The 19,800-nt window shown below is 45.3% G+C and overlaps 3 protein-coding genes across 9 annotated transcripts in view, besides 1 other annotated feature; 2 read left to right on the top strand and 1 right to left on the bottom strand.

The window, feature by feature from the left end:
• MUC16 (mucin 16, cell surface associated) overlaps positions 1-3,310 on the top strand; it is a gene marked incomplete in the record, with an annotated part of 216,908 nt that extends 213,598 nt beyond the window's left edge. For all 4 annotated transcript variants that reach the window (NM_001414686.1, NM_001401501.2, NM_001414687.1 and 1 more), the window contains 3 exon segments: positions 435-476; positions 799-878; positions 3,124-3,310. In NM_001414686.1, the coding sequence (NP_001401615.1) occupies positions 435-476; positions 799-878; positions 3,124-3,222 (221 nt within the window).
• On the bottom strand, positions 8,835-19,777 carry MBD3L1 (methyl-CpG binding domain protein 3 like 1). Of its 4 annotated transcripts, none has more exons than NM_001393532.1 (3): positions 19,632-19,777; positions 11,155-11,239; positions 8,835-9,496 (listed from the first exon to the last, which is right to left on the bottom strand). In NM_001393532.1, exon 3 carries the CDS (start codon positions 9,473-9,475, stop codon positions 8,891-8,893), a length of 585 nt encoding a protein of 194 aa, NP_001380461.1. In that variant the 5' UTR covers positions 9,476-9,496; positions 11,155-11,239; positions 19,632-19,777; the 3' UTR covers positions 8,835-8,890. The 4 variants fall into 4 exon arrangements, with proteins under 4 accessions (NP_001380461.1, NP_001380462.1, NP_001380463.1 ...); NM_001393533.1 differs by lacking the exon at positions 19,632-19,777 and adding an exon at positions 12,433-12,462 and having other exon boundaries at positions 11,155-11,242; NM_001393534.1 differs by lacking the exons at positions 11,155-11,239; positions 19,632-19,777 and adding an exon at positions 12,433-12,462.
• Positions 14,010-19,800, top strand: part of ZNF558 (zinc finger protein 558) — a 31,975-nt gene continuing 26,184 nt past the window's right edge. The window contains exon 1 of the mRNA XM_024451393.2: positions 14,010-14,031. The gene's annotated coding sequence lies outside the window, so the exon portion shown is untranslated. The remainder of the gene's footprint in view (positions 14,032-19,800) is intronic.
• Positions 19,041-19,300: a silencer, noted in NCBI's record as "silent region_10036". NCBI's record gives its function as "represses an Ori minimal core promoter by ATAC-STARR-seq in GM12878 lymphoblastoid cells {active_cell/tissue: GM12878}" and the evidence as "EXISTENCE:reporter gene assay evidence [ECO:0000049][PMID:35858748]".

Here is a 19,800-nt window from a genome sequence, read left to right as displayed (position 1 = left end):
AATATAAACCACTAAATCTAGGTGATGCATATTTATTATACTCTTCTCTCTGCTTTTTTGTACGCTTGTAAAATTGTATTTAAAAGAATAAGACACACTTGGCCGGGCGCGGTGGCTCACGCCTGTAATCCCAGCACTTTGGGAGACCGAGGTGGGTGGATCATGAGGTCAGGAGTTCAAGACCAGCCTGGCCAACATGGTAAAACTCCATCACTACATACAAAAATTAGCCAGGCATTTTGGCGGGCACCTGTAATCTCAGCTACTTGGGAGGCTGAAGCAGGAGAATTGCTTGAACCCGGGAAGCAGAGGTTGCAGTGAGCCAAGATCACGCCACTGCACTCTAGCCTGGGCAACAGAGCAAGACTCCATCTCCAGAAAAAAAAAAAAAAAAAGACACACTCACATGCACCCTCCATTTCTTTCATTTCTAGGGTATTCTCCCAACAGAAATGAGCCCTTAACTGGGAATTCTGGTAAGTCTCAAAGAAGCCCCAGCCCAGGGTAGGGAGGGGGTAGCCTGATGGTGCTTTGCCTTGTCCAAGAGCACCAGGCACACAGAGTCTTGGATGAGGATCAAAATTGCCAACCCATGGCAAAGACTATTGAGGCATAGTAAAGGGATAGCAGGGATCCTGGCTTTCTGGGGGCCCAGTTTTTGGGGGCATCAGAGGCATGAGGTGTTGAGCCACTAAGCTCTCTTCCCCAGGGCTGTGCCCATCCTCAGGCCACATAGGGTCCAAGAAGGAGCCCTGGGACGTGGCAGGAGGTGGCTCACCCCAGCCCTTGTCTCCCCAGACCTTCCCTTCTGGGCTGTCATCCTCATCGGCTTGGCAGGACTCCTGGGAGTCATCACATGCCTGATCTGCGGTGTCCTGGTGAGCAAGGAAGGGTTGCTTGTCTTCTTAACAATTGGGTTGTAAGAGTTCTTAATATATTATAAAACCATACTATACTATACACAAGTCCTTTGCTGGATATATGTTTTGCAAATATTTTCTCCCAGTTCACGGAGTGGCTTTCCTATTTTCTTTTTATAATTTTATTTTTAATTAATTGACAAATAATGAATGCATATATTTAGGGGATACAATGTGATGCTTTGGTATATGTACAATTATGGAATGACTCAATCAAGCTAATTAATATGTCCCTCACCTCTCATACTTATTATTTCTTTGTGGTGTGAACATTGGCAACCTATACTCTTAGCAATTTTGAAATCTACATTATTATTAACTATAGTTACTATGTTATGCAGATCTCAAAAACTTCACAACCTATATGCTGATTACAAGATATTGAGAGAAAAAGTGATTGCAAAGAGTGTAAATAAAATAATGTAAGAGGGAAAAATGTAACAAAATTAGTCGTTAGGGAAATGTACACGGAAGTCACAATGAGAGGCCACTTTTCACAAGAATGGATAAAATTGAAAAGATTGACTATAACAAGTGTTGGTGAAAATGTGACAGAACTGGAACTCTCATAAAGTGAAAGTGGAAAATAGCTTGGCCATTTCTTTGAAAATTACACACACCTACCGTAAGACCCTACCATCCCACTACTAGTAATTTATCTAAGAGAAATAAAAACATATGTCTATATGAAGACTTGTACACAAGTAAATGTTCATAACAGCTTTGTTTGTAATAGCCAAACTCTGAAAACAACCCTAATGTCCATTAACAAATATATCCTGACAATGGAATATTATTCAGCAACAAAAAGGAATTATTAATACATTAATAAATTATACAGCAACATGTATAAATTGCAAAATAGTTATGCCTAGTGAAAGAATCCAGATGAAGAAAAGAGTACATGCCATATGATTCCCTTAATAGACAAATTCTAGAAAATACAAACTAATCTGTAAGGACAGGAATCAGATCAGCGGTTGCCTGGGAATGAAAATGTGTTTGCAGTGGCAGGGAAAAAGGAATTGTAAAAGAGCAGGAAGAAAGTTTTTTTGTTGTTTTTTTTTTGTTTTTTCTTGAGACAGAGTCTTAGTCTATCGCCCAAGCTGGAGTGCAATGGCACGATCTCAGCTCATTGCAACCTCTGCCTCTCGGGTTCAAGCGTTTTTCCTGCCCCAGCCTCCCAAGTAGCTGGGATTACACATGCGCACCACCACACTCAGCTAATTTTTGTATTTTTAGTAGAGACGGGGTTTTACCATGTTGGCCAGGCTGGTCTCGAACTCCTGACCTCAGGTGATCCACCCGCCTTGGCCTCCCAAAGTGCTGGGATTACAGGAGTGAGCCACCATGCCTGGCCAGGACGAAAGTTTTGGGGATGATGGATGGATGTTCCTTATGTTGATTGTGGTGACGATTCAATAAGTTATGATCAGAACTTATCAAAACATTCACTTTAAATGTGTGCAGTTTATTTTATGTCAGTTATGCCTCAGTTAAGCTGGACAGATGTAGAGGAGGAAGGGAGGGAGAGAGGGGGCTGAGATCAGGACCAAAAGCCAGAGAGAAAGAGACTGAGAATGAGATGAGAGAGAAATGGTATTTAGACAGAAGACAGGCGATAGATGATTGATAGTTGACAGATGATTGGTGGATAGCTGATAGGTAGATGATAAATAGATTATTTTGATAGATAATTGGTAGATAATAAATTGATAGGTAACAGATAGTTGATAGATATTGATAAGTAGATGATAAATACATGATTGATGGATGACAGGTGATTGATAGATGATTGATGGATTATAAATAGGAGATGATTGAGAGGTGAGAGATAATTGATGGTTATTGATTGGTAGATAATTGATTGACAGGTTGATAAATATTGATAGCTAGATGATAGATAAATAGATCATTGGTAGATATGTGATATATTGATAAAGAAATTCAGAGGCAAAAGGAGAGAGAAATGAAGGGGATATCGGAGGGGGAAAAATTTTTTTAAACCGAGAGTGAAACAAGGAGACAGAAGAAAAGAAAGTGGTGAAAAGAGGAAAAGAACTGAGGGAGAAATTAAATGAAACAATGAAGGGAGACAGAGGAAGCATAAGGCCTCTGGCTTTGGCCATATTCTCACCCCTGTGGTCTCCTCTCCCTGGACGGCTGACCAGTCCATTCTCACGCCTCCTCCTCACCCTCATAGGTGACCACCCGCCGGCGGAAGAAGGAAGGAGAATACAACGTCCAGCAACAGTGCCCAGGCTACTACCAGTCACACCTAGACCTGGAGGATCTGCAATGACTGGAACTTGCCGGTGCCTGGGGTGCCTTTCCCCCAGCCAGGGTCCAAAGAAGCTTGGCTGGGGCAGAAATAAACCATATTGGTCGGACACAGTCTCTGAGCCTTCCTTGACGTGACCCCTGACTGGTTCATGTTGGACTAAGAGAACAGTCTTCCACCTTCGTGAAGTCCCAAAGGCAACTCTCAGTTGTGTGTTGTGGTTTCGCACCATGTCATCCCTTGGGAACACCAGAATTGGTGAAAATGATTGTATTAGGCTGTTCTTGCACTGTGATAAAGAAATACCTGGCCGGGCGCAGTGGCTCACACCTATAATCCCAGCACTTTGGGAGGCCCAGGCGGGTGGATCACTTGAGGTCAGGAGTTCAAGACCGGAGCCTGGCCAACTTGGTGAAACCCTGTCTCTACTAAAAATACAATAATTAGCCAGGCATGGTGGTCCACGCCTGTAATGCCAGCTACTTGGGAGGCTGAGACAGGAGAATCACTTGAACCCAGGAAGCAGAGGTTGCAGTGAGCCAAGATCACGCCACTGCACTCCAGCCTGAGTGACAGAGCGAGACTCTGTCTCAAAAAAAGAACAAGAGAAAAAAAAAAAATACCTGGCCAGGCTCGGTGGCTCACGCCTGTAATCCTAGCACTATGGGAGGCCTAGGCAGGCAGGTTGCTTGAGTCCAAGAGCTCGAGACCAGCCTGGGAAACATGGCAAAATGCTGTCTCTACAAAGATTTTTAAAAATAGCCAGGCATGGTGGTGCGTGCCTGTAGTCCCAGCTACCCAGGAGGCAGAGGTGGGAGTATCACCTGAGCCTGGGAGGTTGAGGCTGCAGTGAACTGTGATTGTACCACTGCACTCCACCCTGAATGACAGAGTGAGATCCTGTCTCAAAAAAAAAAAAAAAAAAAAAAAAAAAAAAAACAAAGAAAAAAGAAATACCTGAGACTGGGTAATTTTTAAAGAAAAGAGGTTTAATTGGCTCACAGTTCTGCAGGCTGTACAGGAAGCATGATGTCAGCATCTGATCAGCTTCTGGAGAGGTCTCAGGAAGCTTCCAATCATGGTGAAGGCCAAGGGAGGGCCAGCATGTCACAAGAGAGGGCCAGCATGTCACATGGCCAGAGCAGGAGCAAGGGAGAGTTGGGGGGAGCAAAGGTGCCACACACTTAACCAGATCTCACAAGTACAGACTCCCTGTTGCAAAGGCAGCATCAAACCATGAAGGATCTGCCCCTATGACCCAAGCACCGCCTACCAGGCTCCACCTCCAACACTGGGGATTACAATTCAACATCAGATTTGGTGGGGACACATATCCAAACTACATTACTGATGATATGGACAGGAGACAGGGAAATACTGGGTAGAAGAGGGAGGTTCCCCAGCAAAGGCCCCACCCTCAAGCCTGGAGACCTGTGGCCCTAAATGGGAACAGACAATCCTGTTTTCATGCCCCAAAGTCACCTTTTGGCCCACCATGCTCCCCTATCCTATACCCATATAAACCTCAAACCCCAGGCTCCACAAGCAGAAGAATGGCAGAACGACACAGCAGAGAGAAGAGAAGGAGCATCTGAATGCCGAAAGGAGTTCAACTGGGGACAGTCAGAGAGGAGACTAGCCACTGGACAGCCAAACTCCAGGGGAAGATCATCTTCCCACTCCATCCCCCTTCTAGCTCCCCATCCATCCCACTGAGAACCACCTCCCCCATTCAACAAAACCCTGGCATTCATCCTTCAAGTCTATGTGTGACCTGATTCTTCCTGGATGCTGGACAAGGACTTGGGTACCAAGAGGGCACTGAGCTGGTTAACACTTGAGCCATCCACAGACAGCAAGGCTAAGGAGCACACTGTAACACACAGCCACTTGGGCTTTGGGAGTTGCAGTCTCCCACCTGTGGATGCTGCCATGGGGCCAGAGCCCAGGGACACTGGCCCCGGCTCCTGCACCTGCCTGTCTGTGTGCTCCCCGTCCCATAAGGGGTTTGAGTGCACCCAGCAGCCAAACAGATGAGCCACACCCCTGTCACATGTCCTGCAAGGGAGCTCAGGGAATCCTCCTGTTTCACTGATACAGAAATTGCCATCATGGAGGCTGGGCACGGTGGCTCACACCTGTAATCCCAGCACTTTGGGAGACCAAGACAGGTGGATCACCTGAAGTCAGGAGTTCAAGAACAGCCTGACCAACATAATGAAACCCAACTCCACTAAAAATACAAAAAAATTAGCTGGGTTTAGTGGTGGGTGCCTGTAATCCCAGCTACTCGGGAGGCTGAGGCAGGAGAATCACTTGAATCTGAGAGGTGGAGGTTGCAGTGAGCTAAGATCGCGCCATTGCACTCCAGCCTGGGCGACAGAGCAAGACTCCATCTCAAAAAAAGAAAAAAGAAATTGCCATGGTGGAAAATCAACATTCCACTTCAGTGTAAGGTCTCCCACCTTTGTCACTCAGTACACACCCACCCTTGACTCCTATACCAGCCATCACACCCATCCTGTTCCTTTATATTCCCACATCCCTGCCCCCAAGAAACCCTGGCAGTTGCAAGTTTCTCTTCCACTATTTCATTCTCTGAAACTCAAATGCACCAGAATTTCCAGATTAGTGTTCCCTGGGTGGCATATTATCCATCTCACGGGTCCTCTACAATGGGAAGTAGACCAAGAAGACATAAACGGGTCAGAAATGGTTCTATGGGCCAGGCACAGTAGCTCAAACCTGTAATCCCAGCATGTTGGGAGACCACGGTAGGAGGATCGCTTGAGGCCAGGAGTTAGAGACCAGCCTTGGCAACATAATGAGACCCCCATCTCTACTAAAAGAAAAAAATAGCTGGATGTGGTGGCACACACCTATAGTCCCAGCTACTAGGGAGGCGGAGGCAGGAAGATCCCTTGAGCCCAGGAGGTTGAGGCTGCAGTATGATTGCACCACTGCACTCCAAGTCTGGGCAACACAGTGAGACCCCATCTCTAAAAAAAAAAAATAGAGTGCAATATCTATATTATTTATAGCTTCCCTAAAAATTTGTTATTTTAAAATTTCATCTTTTCTGCTCTGTGCTTCCACGTGGTAATCATGTGTGTCCTAGAATGTGGGGATTTTTTTGGTTTTGTTTTCTTTTGTGTTTTGAGATGGAGTCTCACTCTGTTGCCCAGGCTGGAGTGCAATGGCACGATCTCAGCTCACTGCAACCACCGCCTCCCAGGTTCAAGCGATTCTCCTGCCTCAGCCTCCTGAGTAGCTGAGATTACAGGTGGGTGCCACCATACCCAGCTAATTTTTGTATTTTTAGTAGAGACAGGGTTTCGCCATGTTGGCCAGACTGGTCTTGAATGCCTGACCTCAGGTGACCTACCCACGTTAGCCTCCCAAAGTGCTGGGATTACAGGTGTGAGCCACTGCGTGCAGCCTTAGAATGTGTTTTAATGTTTTGTTTGCTTGAAAAAAAATACCAATAGCCTACATCCAGTCTATATGACTTTTTTTAGATTCCACACAGAAGTGAGGTCAATGCATCATTTTCTATCTGTGTCTGACTTAATTCACTTATCTTAAAGTCAGTAGGCAGTACTCAAGATTATAAAATTATTCAGTGCTTTGTCCTCATCATCACAGGATAAAGCCTACCCAATCAGAATTGATTATTATTTTTGTGAAATATCCCAGTGGATTCCAAAATAATATTTAAGGAAAGAGTTTTTTATATCTACGTTCTCAAATAAGCTATCTAACTCTAGTTATTTTTCTGTTCTTGATTGCCCATTAATTCAGAGTTGCATTTAATGAACTACCAGACTTTCCCTGATTCTCTAAGTCTATATGTGTTTGAAATTTGAATCAGGAAAGTCGACACAATTTGAGGGATAATAATATCAAGAAAAACTTTTCAGGCCGAGCGTGGTGGCTCACGCCTGTAATCCCAGCACTTTGGGAGGCTGAGGTGGGCCAATCACTAGAGGTCAAGAGTTCGAGACCAACCTGACCAACATGATGAAATCTCATCTCTACTAAAAATACAAAAATTAGCTGGGTGTGGTGGTGGGCACCTGTAATCCCAGCCACTTGGGAGGCTGAGGCATGAGAATCGCTTGAACCCAGGAGGCAGAGGTTGCAGTGAGCCAAGATCGCACCACTGTACTCCAGCCTGGGAGACAGAGTAAGACCCCTGTCTCAAAAAAAGAAAAGAGAGAGAGACTTTTCAGTGTTAAGAATCTAACGATGCACCATCGTTCTGCTTGTTGGGAATACGAGTTAAAGTCTATTTGTCTACTTGCCTGATCAAGCTTATTGAATTATTCCAGTCCTCTTTATCATTAATTTGCTTTTGTTTGATGGATTTACCAGTTTCTGAGATTGATGTGTTAAAAATGATAGAATACTGGCCAGGCATGGTGGCCCACACCTGTAACCCCAGCATTTTGGGAGGCTGAGGTGGGAGGTTTGCTTAAGTCTAGGAGTTTGAAACCAGCCTGGGCAACAGAGTGAGACCTTGTCTCTGCAAAAAATAGAAAAAATTAGCCAGATGTAATGGCATGTGCCTGTAGTCCCAGCTACTCAGGAGGCTGAGGCAGGAGGATCACCTGAGTCCAAGAGTTCAAGACTGCAGTGAGGTTTTGTTTGTTTGTTTGGGTTTTTTGGTTTGTTTGTTTTGGGGTTTTTTGTTTGTTTTGTTTTTTGGTTTTTGTTGTTGTTGTTGTTGTTTTGTGAGATGGAGTCTTGCTCTGTTGCCCAGGGTGGAGTGCAGTGGGGTGATCTCGGCTCACTGCAACCTCTGCCTCCTGGGTTCAAGCGATTCCCCTGCCTCAGCCTCCCGAATAGCTGGGACTACAGGTATACATCACCACACCCAGCTAAGTTTTGTATTTTTTGTAGAGACAGGTTTCACCATGTTGGCCAGGTTGGTCTTGAACTCCTGATCTCAAGCAATCCACCCACCTCGGCCTCCCAAAGTGCTGGGATTACAGGCATGAGGCACCGCACCTGGCCTGCAGTGAGTCATGATGGCACCACCGCACTCCAGCCTGGACTACATACATACATACATAGTAAATAAAAATGAGAGTATAACATGAAAAAGAAAAAATCTCCTTTCCCTGCCCACCTGAAACCCAATCTCTCACCTCAAAAAGAAATTATTGTCTTTATTCCCTTGTGTCACACAAAGGAGTGTAATTTTTTGTTTTGTTTTGTTTTGTTTTTGAAACAGAGTCTCAATCTGTCACCCAGGCTGGAGTGGAGTGGTGCAATCTCGGCTCACTGCAGCCTCTGCCTCTGGGTTCAAGCGATTCTCCTGCCTCAGCCTCCCGAGTAGCTGGCATTATAGGTGCCTGCCACCATGCCCAGCTAATTTTTGTATTTTTAATATAGATGGGGTTTCACCATGTTGGCCAGGCTGGTCTTGAACTCCTGGCCACAAGTGATCACCCGCCTCAGCCTCCCAAAGTGCTAGGATTACAGGCATGAGCCACCGCACCCTGTTCTGAGCTTACTTACTTAGGTGCTCTTAGGTGCTCACCCAGCCTAATTTTTTTTTTTTTAAGTATTGGCATATTTTAAAGTTTCAAGAGCTTAAAGCAAAAAAACCTCATTGGGGACACTGCAAAGAGATGTTAATAAAGGATTACACTTTATTTCATCTGCACTATCTTCCCTTTTTTTCTTAGCGTTTTTCAGGACGGCCTTCTTGGTCTCTCACTTTCTCTGCCTCATTAGCGAGTCCATCCGCAATCAGTGCTATTGCGAGTCTCTCTCTGACTGTCTTCACTTTCCCTTCCTGTTTCCTGATATCTTCCTCAGTAACCAGAAATTGTTTGCAGAGGAGCTGCGAGATACCCACTCCCTCTGCAGGAATTATCTCCACCGCATCTGAAGAGCAGGCAAGGTGGGGCATGGGGCAGGAGTGCTCCAGACCACTGGCAAGATCCTCCAGCAGAGATCCACCTGTGTAACTAGGGACAAGTTTTTGCAAGGTATTGGCAAGATCCAAAGTGCTTGAAAGTTCTCCTGCACTGCTGTAAGCCTGGAGTCCCTGCAGTCTCCTCTGCCAGCAGACCTGCTGAGGCTTCTCCAAGCTCTCCTCCCATTGATGGTATCTGACCTCATTGCCAGGATGGGGTGTAATTCTCGTTACTGGCCTCTTGAATGTGTAACTGGACATTCTCAAAGGGATTGAGGTGCTCAAGCCAGGCTTTGATTTGCATTGGTTTACACAGTCACGTTGCTTCCTCTGTGAACTCTTGGCCATCACACTTCTTTTCCTCTTACACTATTAAAATAAATCATGAAATGGGGTCAAATTGATCAATGAAGCCTGCCTTCTCAGGACAAGGATCTCAGCTGTTCTGGACTTTCATCCTTCCTCTCTCCCTCTGGGGATAGGTCTGACCTGCTTCCTGGGACATCATCAGGCAGATTTGAGTCAAGCACAGAAAGTTCAAGGTCAAAATCTCCTTCATCATCCTGCAAACCCCCTCCTTGTTTGAGTACTATTTTATTCTCTTTCTGCCCTTGTCACTCTTAAATGCTCAAGTCCTGATACTCCCTCTCATGACAAATATGACAGTCTTTTTCTAAATCTCAAATCTTGCCTTTTTTTTTTTTTTTTGTCCCACTCCGTCACTCAGGCTGGAGTGCAGTGGTGCAATCACAGCTCACTGCAGCCTTTACCTCCCCAGGCTCAAGTGATCCACCCACCTGAACCTCCCGCGTAGCTGGGACTACAGGCGTGCATCACCATGCCTGGCTGTTTGTGGTTTTTGTAGAGACGAGGTTTCACCATATTGTCCAGGCTGGTCTGGAACTCCTGAACTCAAGTGATCCACCCCCCCTCGACCTCCCAAAGTGCTGGGATTACAGGCATGGGCGACCGTGCCCAGCCCAAATCCTGCCATTCTTATGCATTACTTGACTATTCATCTGTTTAACACATTGACCTCTTGGTTTGCACAGTTCCTGCAGCTTGTAAGTCAATAATGAAATTATCAACTGCTCTGCTCTTTGAGCCTTAATCCCACACCCCAGACATTTTCAGCAACCCAAACAGCCATGCTCAAAAATAAATAATTCTGACCCAGCACAGTGGCTTACATCTGTAATCCCAGCACTTTGGGAGGCCAAGGCAGGCGAATCGCTTGAGGTCAGGAGTTCAAGACCAGCCTGGCCAACATGGCGAAACCCCATCTCTACAAAAAATACAAAAATTAGCTAGGCATGGTGGCGGGCACCTGTAATCCCAGCTACTCGGGAGGCTGAGGCAGGAGAATAGCTTGAACCCGGGAGCTGGAGGTGGCAGTGAGCCGAGATCGCACCACTGCACTCCAGTCTGGGCAACAGAGCGAGACTGTCTCAAAACAAATAAATAAATAAATCGGAAAACTTATTCACCCACTATAAATTTCTGATTTCCAGGTTTTTTAATTCAAATGCCCATACCATAGATACCTGTTCTTGATGAACATACCTTGAGGAGCAAGTATCTGTGATTTGGGTATTTGAATTACTCCGGACCTCCGTATCTTCACCTTCCTCTCTCTCCTCTGATTCCTAGCACTCTTGGATTCTGTGGTCTGCGACCTCAATATTTCCCTTAGAGGCCGGGCACGGTGGCTCCACGCCTGTAATCTCAGCACTTTGGGAGGCCGAGGTGGGTGGATCACTTGAGGCCAGGAGTTCAAGACCAGGCTGGCCAACATGGTGAAACCCCATCTCTACCAAAAAAAAAAAAAAAGAATTAGCTGGGTGTGGTGGCGCACACCTGTAGTCCCAGCTACTCGGAAGGCTGAGGTGGGAGAATCACTTGAACCCAGGAGGTGGAGGTTGCAGTGAGCAGAGATCACATCATTGCACTCCAGCCTGAGCAACAGAATGAGACCCTGTCTAAAAAAAAAAAAAAAAATTCATTTAGATTAATCCAAAATTCCTTACCACTTATCACACCTGCCTTGTAAAACTTCAAACTTGGAAGGTCCCTGTTCTCTGTGACGCCATGGCTACCACCGTCATATGATCACTGCTGAAAAAAGAATCACGTGACATGACGTCTTAGTGCCACTATAAATACAAAATATTCTCCATCAACTGGGAAGAATCCATCATGCGTAGAAACTTTATTTTCTGTGTATGCACTGTCATGTTTACTCCTTGATTTTCCCCAAAACCTGTTGCAAAATTTTCTCCAGCTTTCTTTTTTCCTCATAGATATTTAATTCTCCTTAACTTACCTGATGGTTCCCAAAGACGTTAGTTGCCAAATCTGCAAATATCCCTGATAAGCATTGAATGTTTCCAAATTTCCTTTAATTGTATTTAAAGAGATTTCCTGCCAGGCATGGTGGCTCACACATCTAATCCCAGCACTTTGGTAGGCTGAGGCGGGAGGGCCACTTGAACACAGGAGTTTGAGACCAGTCAGGGCAACGTAGGGGGACCCCCATCTCTACTAAAAATTAAAAAGTTAGCTGGGGGTGATGATACATGTCTGAGGTCCCAGCTGAGTGAGGGAGGCCGAGTGAAGAGGATAGCTTGAGCCCAGGAGGTCGAGGTTGCAGTGAGCGGCAATCAGGCCACTGTACTCTAGCCTTGGCAACAGAGCAAGACCTTGTCTCATAAATACATAAATATGTTTCCTTTATCCACCAAGAGTGATCTGAGCCTCATTCCTTCTTCCTTTTTGTTAATTTTATGCTTCCAATATTGCAATGTAACCTTTGTATCATCTGTTTTTGTTTTTTTTTTTTTTTTGAGACGGAGTCCCGCTCTATAGCCCAGACTGGAGTACAGTGGGATGATCTGGGCTCACTGCAACCTCCACTGCCCGGGTTCAAGCAATTATCTTGCCTCAGCCTCCCAAGTAGCTGGGATTACAGGCACATACCTCTATGTCCAGCTAATTTTTTGGTATTTTTAGTAGCGATGGGGTTTCGCCATGTTGGCCAGAGTGGCCTCGAACTCCTGACCTCATGATCTGCCCGCCTCAACCTCCCAAAGTGCTGGGATTACAGATGCCCCCATATCTTTAACTTCTGTTTTTCTACTGAATCCCTTCTTCGGCATTTAAACATGTTCAAGTTTCTCCGAGCTACACAGACACTCCTCTCCTAAACTTCCTGGGACCCCCTCCTTCACCACTACTGCCTATCCCTTCCCCTTAGCTATGAACCACTGAGAAAAGATCATCTACATCTATGTCTCCTATCTCCTCACCTCCAGCAACTCCTCAGGCCACCCCAAACTTCTGTTTTCCTTCACCGTTCTCAGCTGCTTCTGTTGCTAAGGCCACAATGACCCCTTTGTTGTTAGATCCCAAAGGAATTCTCATTATTCATCTGACATGACTCTTGAAGTGGAAAGCTTTGAAGTATGCTTGGAACAACCTGGACATGTGAATCTTACTTTACAGCTGTGAACCCTAGAAAATCTAAATATGGCCAGGCACGGTGGCTCACACCTGTAATCCCAGCACTTTGGGAGGCCGAGGCGGGCAGATCATGAGGTCAGGAGATTGAGACCATCCTAGCTAACACAGTGAAACCCCATCTCTACTAAAAATACAAAATATTAGCCATAATATTAATACAGGTGGGTGTGGTGGCACACACCTGTATCCCAGCTACTCAGGAGGCTGAGGCAGGAGAATGGCGTGAACCTGGGAGGCGGAGCTTGCAGTGAGCCGAGATGGCGCCACTGCACTCCAGCCTGGGCGACAGTGCGAGACTCTGTCTCAAAAAAAAAAAAAAAAAGAAAAGAAAAGAAAAAAAAGAAAATCTAAATACGGGGCAAGTACATCTGATAACATTCAACTCGCAAATTGAGATGTGCCATCAGTGGAAAGTACGAACTGGATTTCTGGAACTCATTACAAAAAACAAAAATCATTTAAAAGGTCTCATGTGGAGTCCTAATAAGATAAGTAACCAACAACAAGGAAAGGGCCCCTGGTTGGGGGAGAACAATTGTTCTGAGAGATGGCTAACTGCAAACAACCCACTGGCATGACATTCTGTTCCAAAAGACCTCGGTCTGCACATAGTCCCAGGAACACGACCTTATCTGCACACCTCACGTGCACATAGCCGCCTCCAGCACGACCCTATAAAATCCCCTCCAACCTCTGCCTCTTTGCAAATGGCCCCTTCTCTTCTGTGCTGCCTGTTGCATCCTTGCAACCTATCTTCATATCTTCTCTAATAAATCTGTCTTTCTTTACCTACGACTGTCTTGGGAAATTATTTTACCACCAACAATGCCAGCCCCAGCCAGTCGCACCTAAAACGTCTCAATAATTTTTACATTGATTGCATGCACACATGAGAATATGTTGGCCATCGCAGGTTAAAATAGACTTTTAGAATTCATTGTGTGTGGCATGCCATCTGTGGCTGAGGTGCTATATTGGTGCTTATCTAGGAGTTATCACCAGACAGCCTGTGTTCTGTGCATGCTTGGTTGTTTGCAGAGTTGCATAGCCTTCAAAACATTTACTATCTCAATATATCCATGTCCTCGGGAGAGGGTTAGGCAATATGCAGTTTGTTTCCATGGGACATCTCCATCCTTAGCAATTCCTTTGGGGATTATTTGACATCTGTCATTTCCACAGGTGGCCTTGCCCTGGAGGAAGGTGATAGTGGGGCTGCTGATCTTTTTTTTTTTTTTTTTTTTTTTTTTTTTTTGAGATGGAGTCTTGCTCTGTCGTCCAGGCTGGAGTGCAGTGCAGTGATGCGATCTCGGCTCACTGCAACCTCTGCCTCCTGGGTTCAAGCGATTCTCCTGCCTCAGCCTCCTGAGTAGCTGGGACTACAGGTGTGCACCACCACGCCCAGCTTATTTTTTGTATTTTTAGTAGAGACGGGGTTTCACCATGTTATCCAGGATGGTCTCAATCTCTTGATGTCATGATCCGCCCGCCTCGGCCTCCCAAAGTGCTGGGATTACAGGCGTGAGCCACCGTGCCTGGCCAGGGCTGCTGATCTTCTGGGTAGAATTTCAGCCTTGCTGTCTCCTGTGTATAAGGAACTCTGCCTGCTCCATCTTGGTCCCTTCCAGTTGTTTCACTTCAAGTTTCTTTACCTCCTTCTCTTCCTTACTAACCAAAATATGGAATGAAATATTTAGTAGCAATTATTTTATGCGTCATCTGGTTAGGTGGAAGCTACTAGTTGTTTTTACTCTAGCAGAATTAAGGTAGCCGGAAGTGACTATCAGAGTATAAAGTATCCTCAGATCTCAGGTACTCTGTGGGAAAGCAAGAACTTGTCTTGTCCATGAGGCCAGTGTGAAGGGTGAGGGTCTTTATCCCTGTCACAAGGCTTGAGGCAAAACTTTGCACTCTGCCTTCTGCCCTCCAGCCAGAGAAGTTTCTAGCCACCCCCATTCGAGGCAGAAAGGGTCCAGGCATTAAGTGGTTGTCGAGCCCTGGAATTTTATATTCCTAGACTTTGTGGGTTACAACATGGATACACACTGCCGACTTCATTCTGCAGCCAGCTTCTCACATCTAACAATATATCCCGATTGTAATTTAATATAACTAAATGTACATTGACATTGTTGTTTTAAGGCCCATGAATGTCATTTCATACGGCTACACCAGTACTTATTTTGCCATTGTTACTAATCTTCTGTCATATTAAATAGGAGGTAGATGATCAATCCTTTTTAACAAGGTTCAAACATTTCTCTGATTTAGATCACTGTAAAATTGCTGGGTTGATAAATATGCACATTCGTACAGCTTTGGGTATATGTTACCAAGTACCTGCTGAGAAACTGGTACTTATCAATGCTGCTAGCAGAGGGCGAGGTCATTCATTTCTTCATGTCTTGACAAACTGGCCATTTAAAATGTTTTGCATTACTTGAGAGGCACAAACATAATGCCATTATTTTAATTTATGCCTCTTTGCTAATTAGAGTATTGGGCAGTTGTATGTATTTGTAAAGGAGTGTGTGGTTCATAGCCTTTGTCTTTGATGATGTTTTTACTGGCTTGTTCATCTTTTGCTTATTTATCCAAAATATTCTTTATGTAATAATGATATGAGCCCACATGTCATAGATTTTTACAATTATTTATCCCCAGTTTGTTTTGCCATTTAATAATGTGATGGTGTGGAAAATTAAGATACACTTAAGCTGGATACGATGGGGTCATGCCTAAAATCCCAGCACTTTGGGCAGCCAAGGCAAAGGGATTGCTTGCGCTCAGGAGTTCGAGACTAGCCTCTGTGGTGTGGCGAGTCCCTGTCTCTATAAAAAATACAAAAACTAGCTGGGCGTGGTGGTGCACGCCTGCAGTCCCAGCTACTCGGGAAGCTGAGGAGGGAGAATGACTTGAGCCCAGGAGGTCGAGGCTGCAATGAGCCATGTTTGCACCACTGCACTCCAGCCTGGGTGACAAAGCAAGATCCTGTCTCCAAAAAAAAAGAAAAAAGAAGAAAGAAGGAGGAGGAGAGGGGGGGAGGAGGAGGAAAAGGAAGAGAAGAAGGAGGAGGAGGAAAGAAGAAAGAAGAAGGAGGAGGACAAGGAGGAGGAGGAAGGGGAGGAGTAAGGAAGAAGGAAGAAAGGAGGAGGAGGAAGAGGAAGAAGAGAAGAACTCACATTTTTGTAGTATTTTACTTTTTCCACTTTTCTTCTATTATTTTGAGGAAGAAGCACTCATATTTATGTAGTATTTTATTTTTCCACTTTTATTCTCTTATTATGCCTAACTGAAGAATTTATGTGTATAATTCTACATTTTTTAAATAAAAACTTTATTGAGCTACCATAATATTCAACCTTTTAAAGTGTACAGTTTTTACACTTTTGTGTAAAATGGTTTTTAGTACATTCACACAGTTGCGCAATCGTCACCACTATCTAATCTTATTTTCATCTAAAATGAAATCCATACCATTACCCACTTCCCCTCATTTCCCTTTTCCCCAACATTTGCCACTAATCTATTGTCTCTTTGGATTTTCTTATTCTGGAAATTTTATTTAAATTGAATTATACAAAATGTGGGTTTTTTATGAGTGGCTTCTTTTACTTACCGTAATGTTTTCAAGGTTCATCCATGGAATATGTATTCTGTTTAATGGATGAATAATAATCCGTTGTGTGGATATACCACATTTTATTTATCCATTCATCAGTTGACTGATATTTGGGACATACAAAATTTTGGGCTATTATGTATAATGCTGCTATGAACATTCATGTACAAGCTGTCATGTGAACACATGTTTTCATTTCTCTTGGGCATATACTGGAAATAAAATTGCTGGGTCACGTGGCAACTCTATGACTTTTTGAGGAACTGCCAAACTATTTTGCAAAGTGGGTGCACCATTTTACAATCCTGACAGCAATGTATAAGAATTCCAATTTCTCCTTGTCTTTGCCAATCTTTGTTATTGGCTATCTTTTTAATTTTAATTATCCCAATGGGTGTGAAGTAGTATTTTATTGAAGTTTTGATATTAACTTCCCTAATGATTAATGGGGCCGAGCATCTTTTCATGTATATATTTGCCATTTGTGTATCTTCTTTGTAGAAATGACGATTCGAACTCTTTGTTCATTTTTCAGGCTGGGTGCAGTGGCTCACACCTGTAATCCCAGCACTTAGGGAGGCCAAGGTGGGCAGATCACTTGAGGTCAGGAGTTCAAGACCAGCCTGGCCAACATGGCAAAACCCTCTCTCTGCTAAAAATACAAAAATTAGCCAGGCGTGGTGGTGAACGCCTGTGGTCCCAGCTACTTGGGAGGCTGAGGCAGGAGAATCGCTTGAATCCAGGAGGCAGAGGATGCAGTGAGCCAAAATGGTGCCACAGCACTCCAGCCTAGGTGACAGAAGGAGACTCCACCTCAAAAAGAAAAAAAAAAAAAAACTCTTTGTTCACTTTTAATTGGGTATCTTTTTATTGCTGAGTCGCAAGCCTTTATATATTTTGAATACAAGTCATGTATCAGATAAATCATTTGTAAATGTCTTCACCCAGTCCATGTTTGTCTTTTTTCTTGATGGTGTCCTTTGAAGCATCAATGTTTTTTAATGTTAAGTCCAATTTATATATTTTTTCTTTCGCCACCTGTTTTTGATGTCATATCTAAGAAACAATTGCCTAACCCAAGATCACAAAGTTTGACACCTATGTTTTCTTCCAAGAAGTTTATAGTTTTAGCTCTTACCTTTAGGTCTATGATCTATTTTGAGCTCACTTTTGTACATGGTGTGAAGTAGAGGTCCAATTTCATTCTCTGTTTTTTGTTTGTTTCTTGGTTGGTTGGTTTTTTTTTTGTTTTTTTTTGGTTTTGGTTTGTTTTTTTTTTTTGATGGAGTCTCGCTCTGTTCTCAGGCTGGAGTGCAGTGGGGTGATCTCGGCTCACTGCAATCTCCACCTCCTGGGTTCAAACGATTCTTCTGCCTCAGTCTCCCGAGTAGCTGGGACTATAGGCGCCCGCCACCACGCCCAGCTAATTTTGGTATTTTTAGTAGAGACGGGGTTTCACCATGTTAGCCAGGATGGTCTCGATATCTTGACCTCGTGATCTGCCTGCCTCAGCCTCCCAAAGTGCTGGGGTTACAGGCGTGAGCCACCACGCCCAGCCCAATTTCATTCTTTTGTATATTGGCATCTAGTTGTCCCAGCACAATTTGTTGAAGAGAACAGTCTTTCCACAGTGAACTTTCCTAGTATATTGAATTTTGAACTTGTTCATTTTTGCTTAAACTTCCTTCAGCCACCTGAAAATGGATATTTTTGGGAAGCAGAGATCTAACTATTTTTTTCTGAAAGGACGGGTGCATGAAACAATATCATTCATTGAAAGTATTTCTTCCTGGCTGATTTTAAATGTTACCACTCTCTTACATAAAATTTTTTCCCTTTGCACTTACCAGTATCTTTTTTTGTTTATGGTTTTTGGTTTTTGTTTTGTTTTGTTTTTTGAGATGGAGTCTTGCTCGTCACCCGGGCTGGAGTGCACCGGCTGCAATCTCGGCTCACTTCAACCTCCACCTCCCGAGTTCAAGCTATTCTCCTGCCTCAGCCTCCCAAGTACCTGGGATTACAAGGCATCCGCCACCACGCCCGGCTAATTTTGTATTTTTAGTAGAGACGGGGTTTCACCATGTTGGCAGGCTGGTCTCGAACTCCTGACCTCAGGTGATCTGCCTGCCTCGGCCTCCCAAAGTGTTGGGATTACAAGCGTAAGCCACCAGGTCCAACCAGCACTTAGTGGTATCTAACGCACCAACCCACCATGTATTCTATTTATCACATTCACTGTCCATTTCTCCTGCCCAACTCACAACTAAAATGCACGTTCTCTGAGGGCAAGGACGTTTACCTATTTTGTTCAGTCTATATCCATGGTGTATAAAACAGAGACTTGTTGGGGGGGAGGTAATAGCATTTATTCCATGAATATGACTACGGCATACACACATACACACACATACATGTCCACACTATATCTGGAAAGATAGAGGAGAAAATTATTTTTGCCTCTGAGCAAAAGAACTGAAAGACCGTGGTGGGAGAATATTTGACTGACTTTGTACCATTCTTAAGTTTTCCTATATGTGTATCTATGACCCAGTCCTCTCCTGCTCCCCTAAACTCTTAGTGTTAAATCACTATGTTCTGCCTTGGGAAAGCAAGTTATAGACAAATGTGCATACATAATCTGATCCTATTGGGTTGTATGAACATGGGGCAGTAACTGTATCAACAATCTAGGGATCCAAGGAAGGCCCTACCCCTGAATCTGATCTCCCACAATCCTGGCTCCTGGGCCTATCCCAACCCACCCACATCATACACCCTTTTATTCATACCCAGATCCCTGCCCCTGGAACTGGTCTCCACCCACTGCCCCCTCCCCAGGCCTGGTGCAGCCCACAGTCCCGCCCCCAGAACTGGTCTCCGCCCACAGTCAGCCCCGCCCCCAGGCTTGCTGCCACCCCATAGCTCCGCCCCTAGAACTGCTCTCTGCCAATCACCACTGCCCTCCAAGACCGGTACACCCACAGCCTAGTCCCCGCCCTCCGCCCGGCCCGGAGCTTATCTCCGCCCACAGCCAGCCCCAACCTCCAGGGCTGTCACAACCACAGCCTGGTTCCCGCTCAGCCCCGCCCCGGAAATGGAGGTCTCCACCCCTGTAACTGGTCTCTGCTCAGTCATCCCCGCTCTAGAAGCCTTATACCATCCGCCCCGAGAACTGGGCCCCACCCACAGCCCCGACCCTGGAACTGGTCTCTGCCCAATCAGCCTCGCCCTCCAGGCCTGGTACGGCCTCAGCCGGTTCCCCGCCTTCAGCCCCGCCCCGGAACTGATCTCCGCCCACAACCAGCCCCGCCCCCAGGCCTCGTGCGGCTCACAGCCTGGCCCCGCCCCCAGGGCCAACCTTACCCCCGCTACTGCCCCAGGCCAGGGCCCAACTTTGTGCCCACTAAGCAAACTAGAACACCTCTGCCCAAGGCTGGGGTTCGCGGCCGCCGCTCCCGCCCGCCGCGCCTGTCGCCTAAGCGCCGAACCCCCAACACGCTCGACTCTGCGAGGCTGCCCGCGCGAGCCGGAA

Source organism: Homo sapiens, chromosome 19, assembly GCF_000001405.40.
Source record: "Homo sapiens chromosome 19, GRCh38.p14 Primary Assembly".
Lineage (NCBI taxonomy): Eukaryota > Metazoa > Chordata > Mammalia > Primates > Hominidae > Homo > Homo sapiens.
Note: the sequence above shows the minus strand (reverse complement) of the source record. Positions and strands in the feature narration are given on the sequence as shown.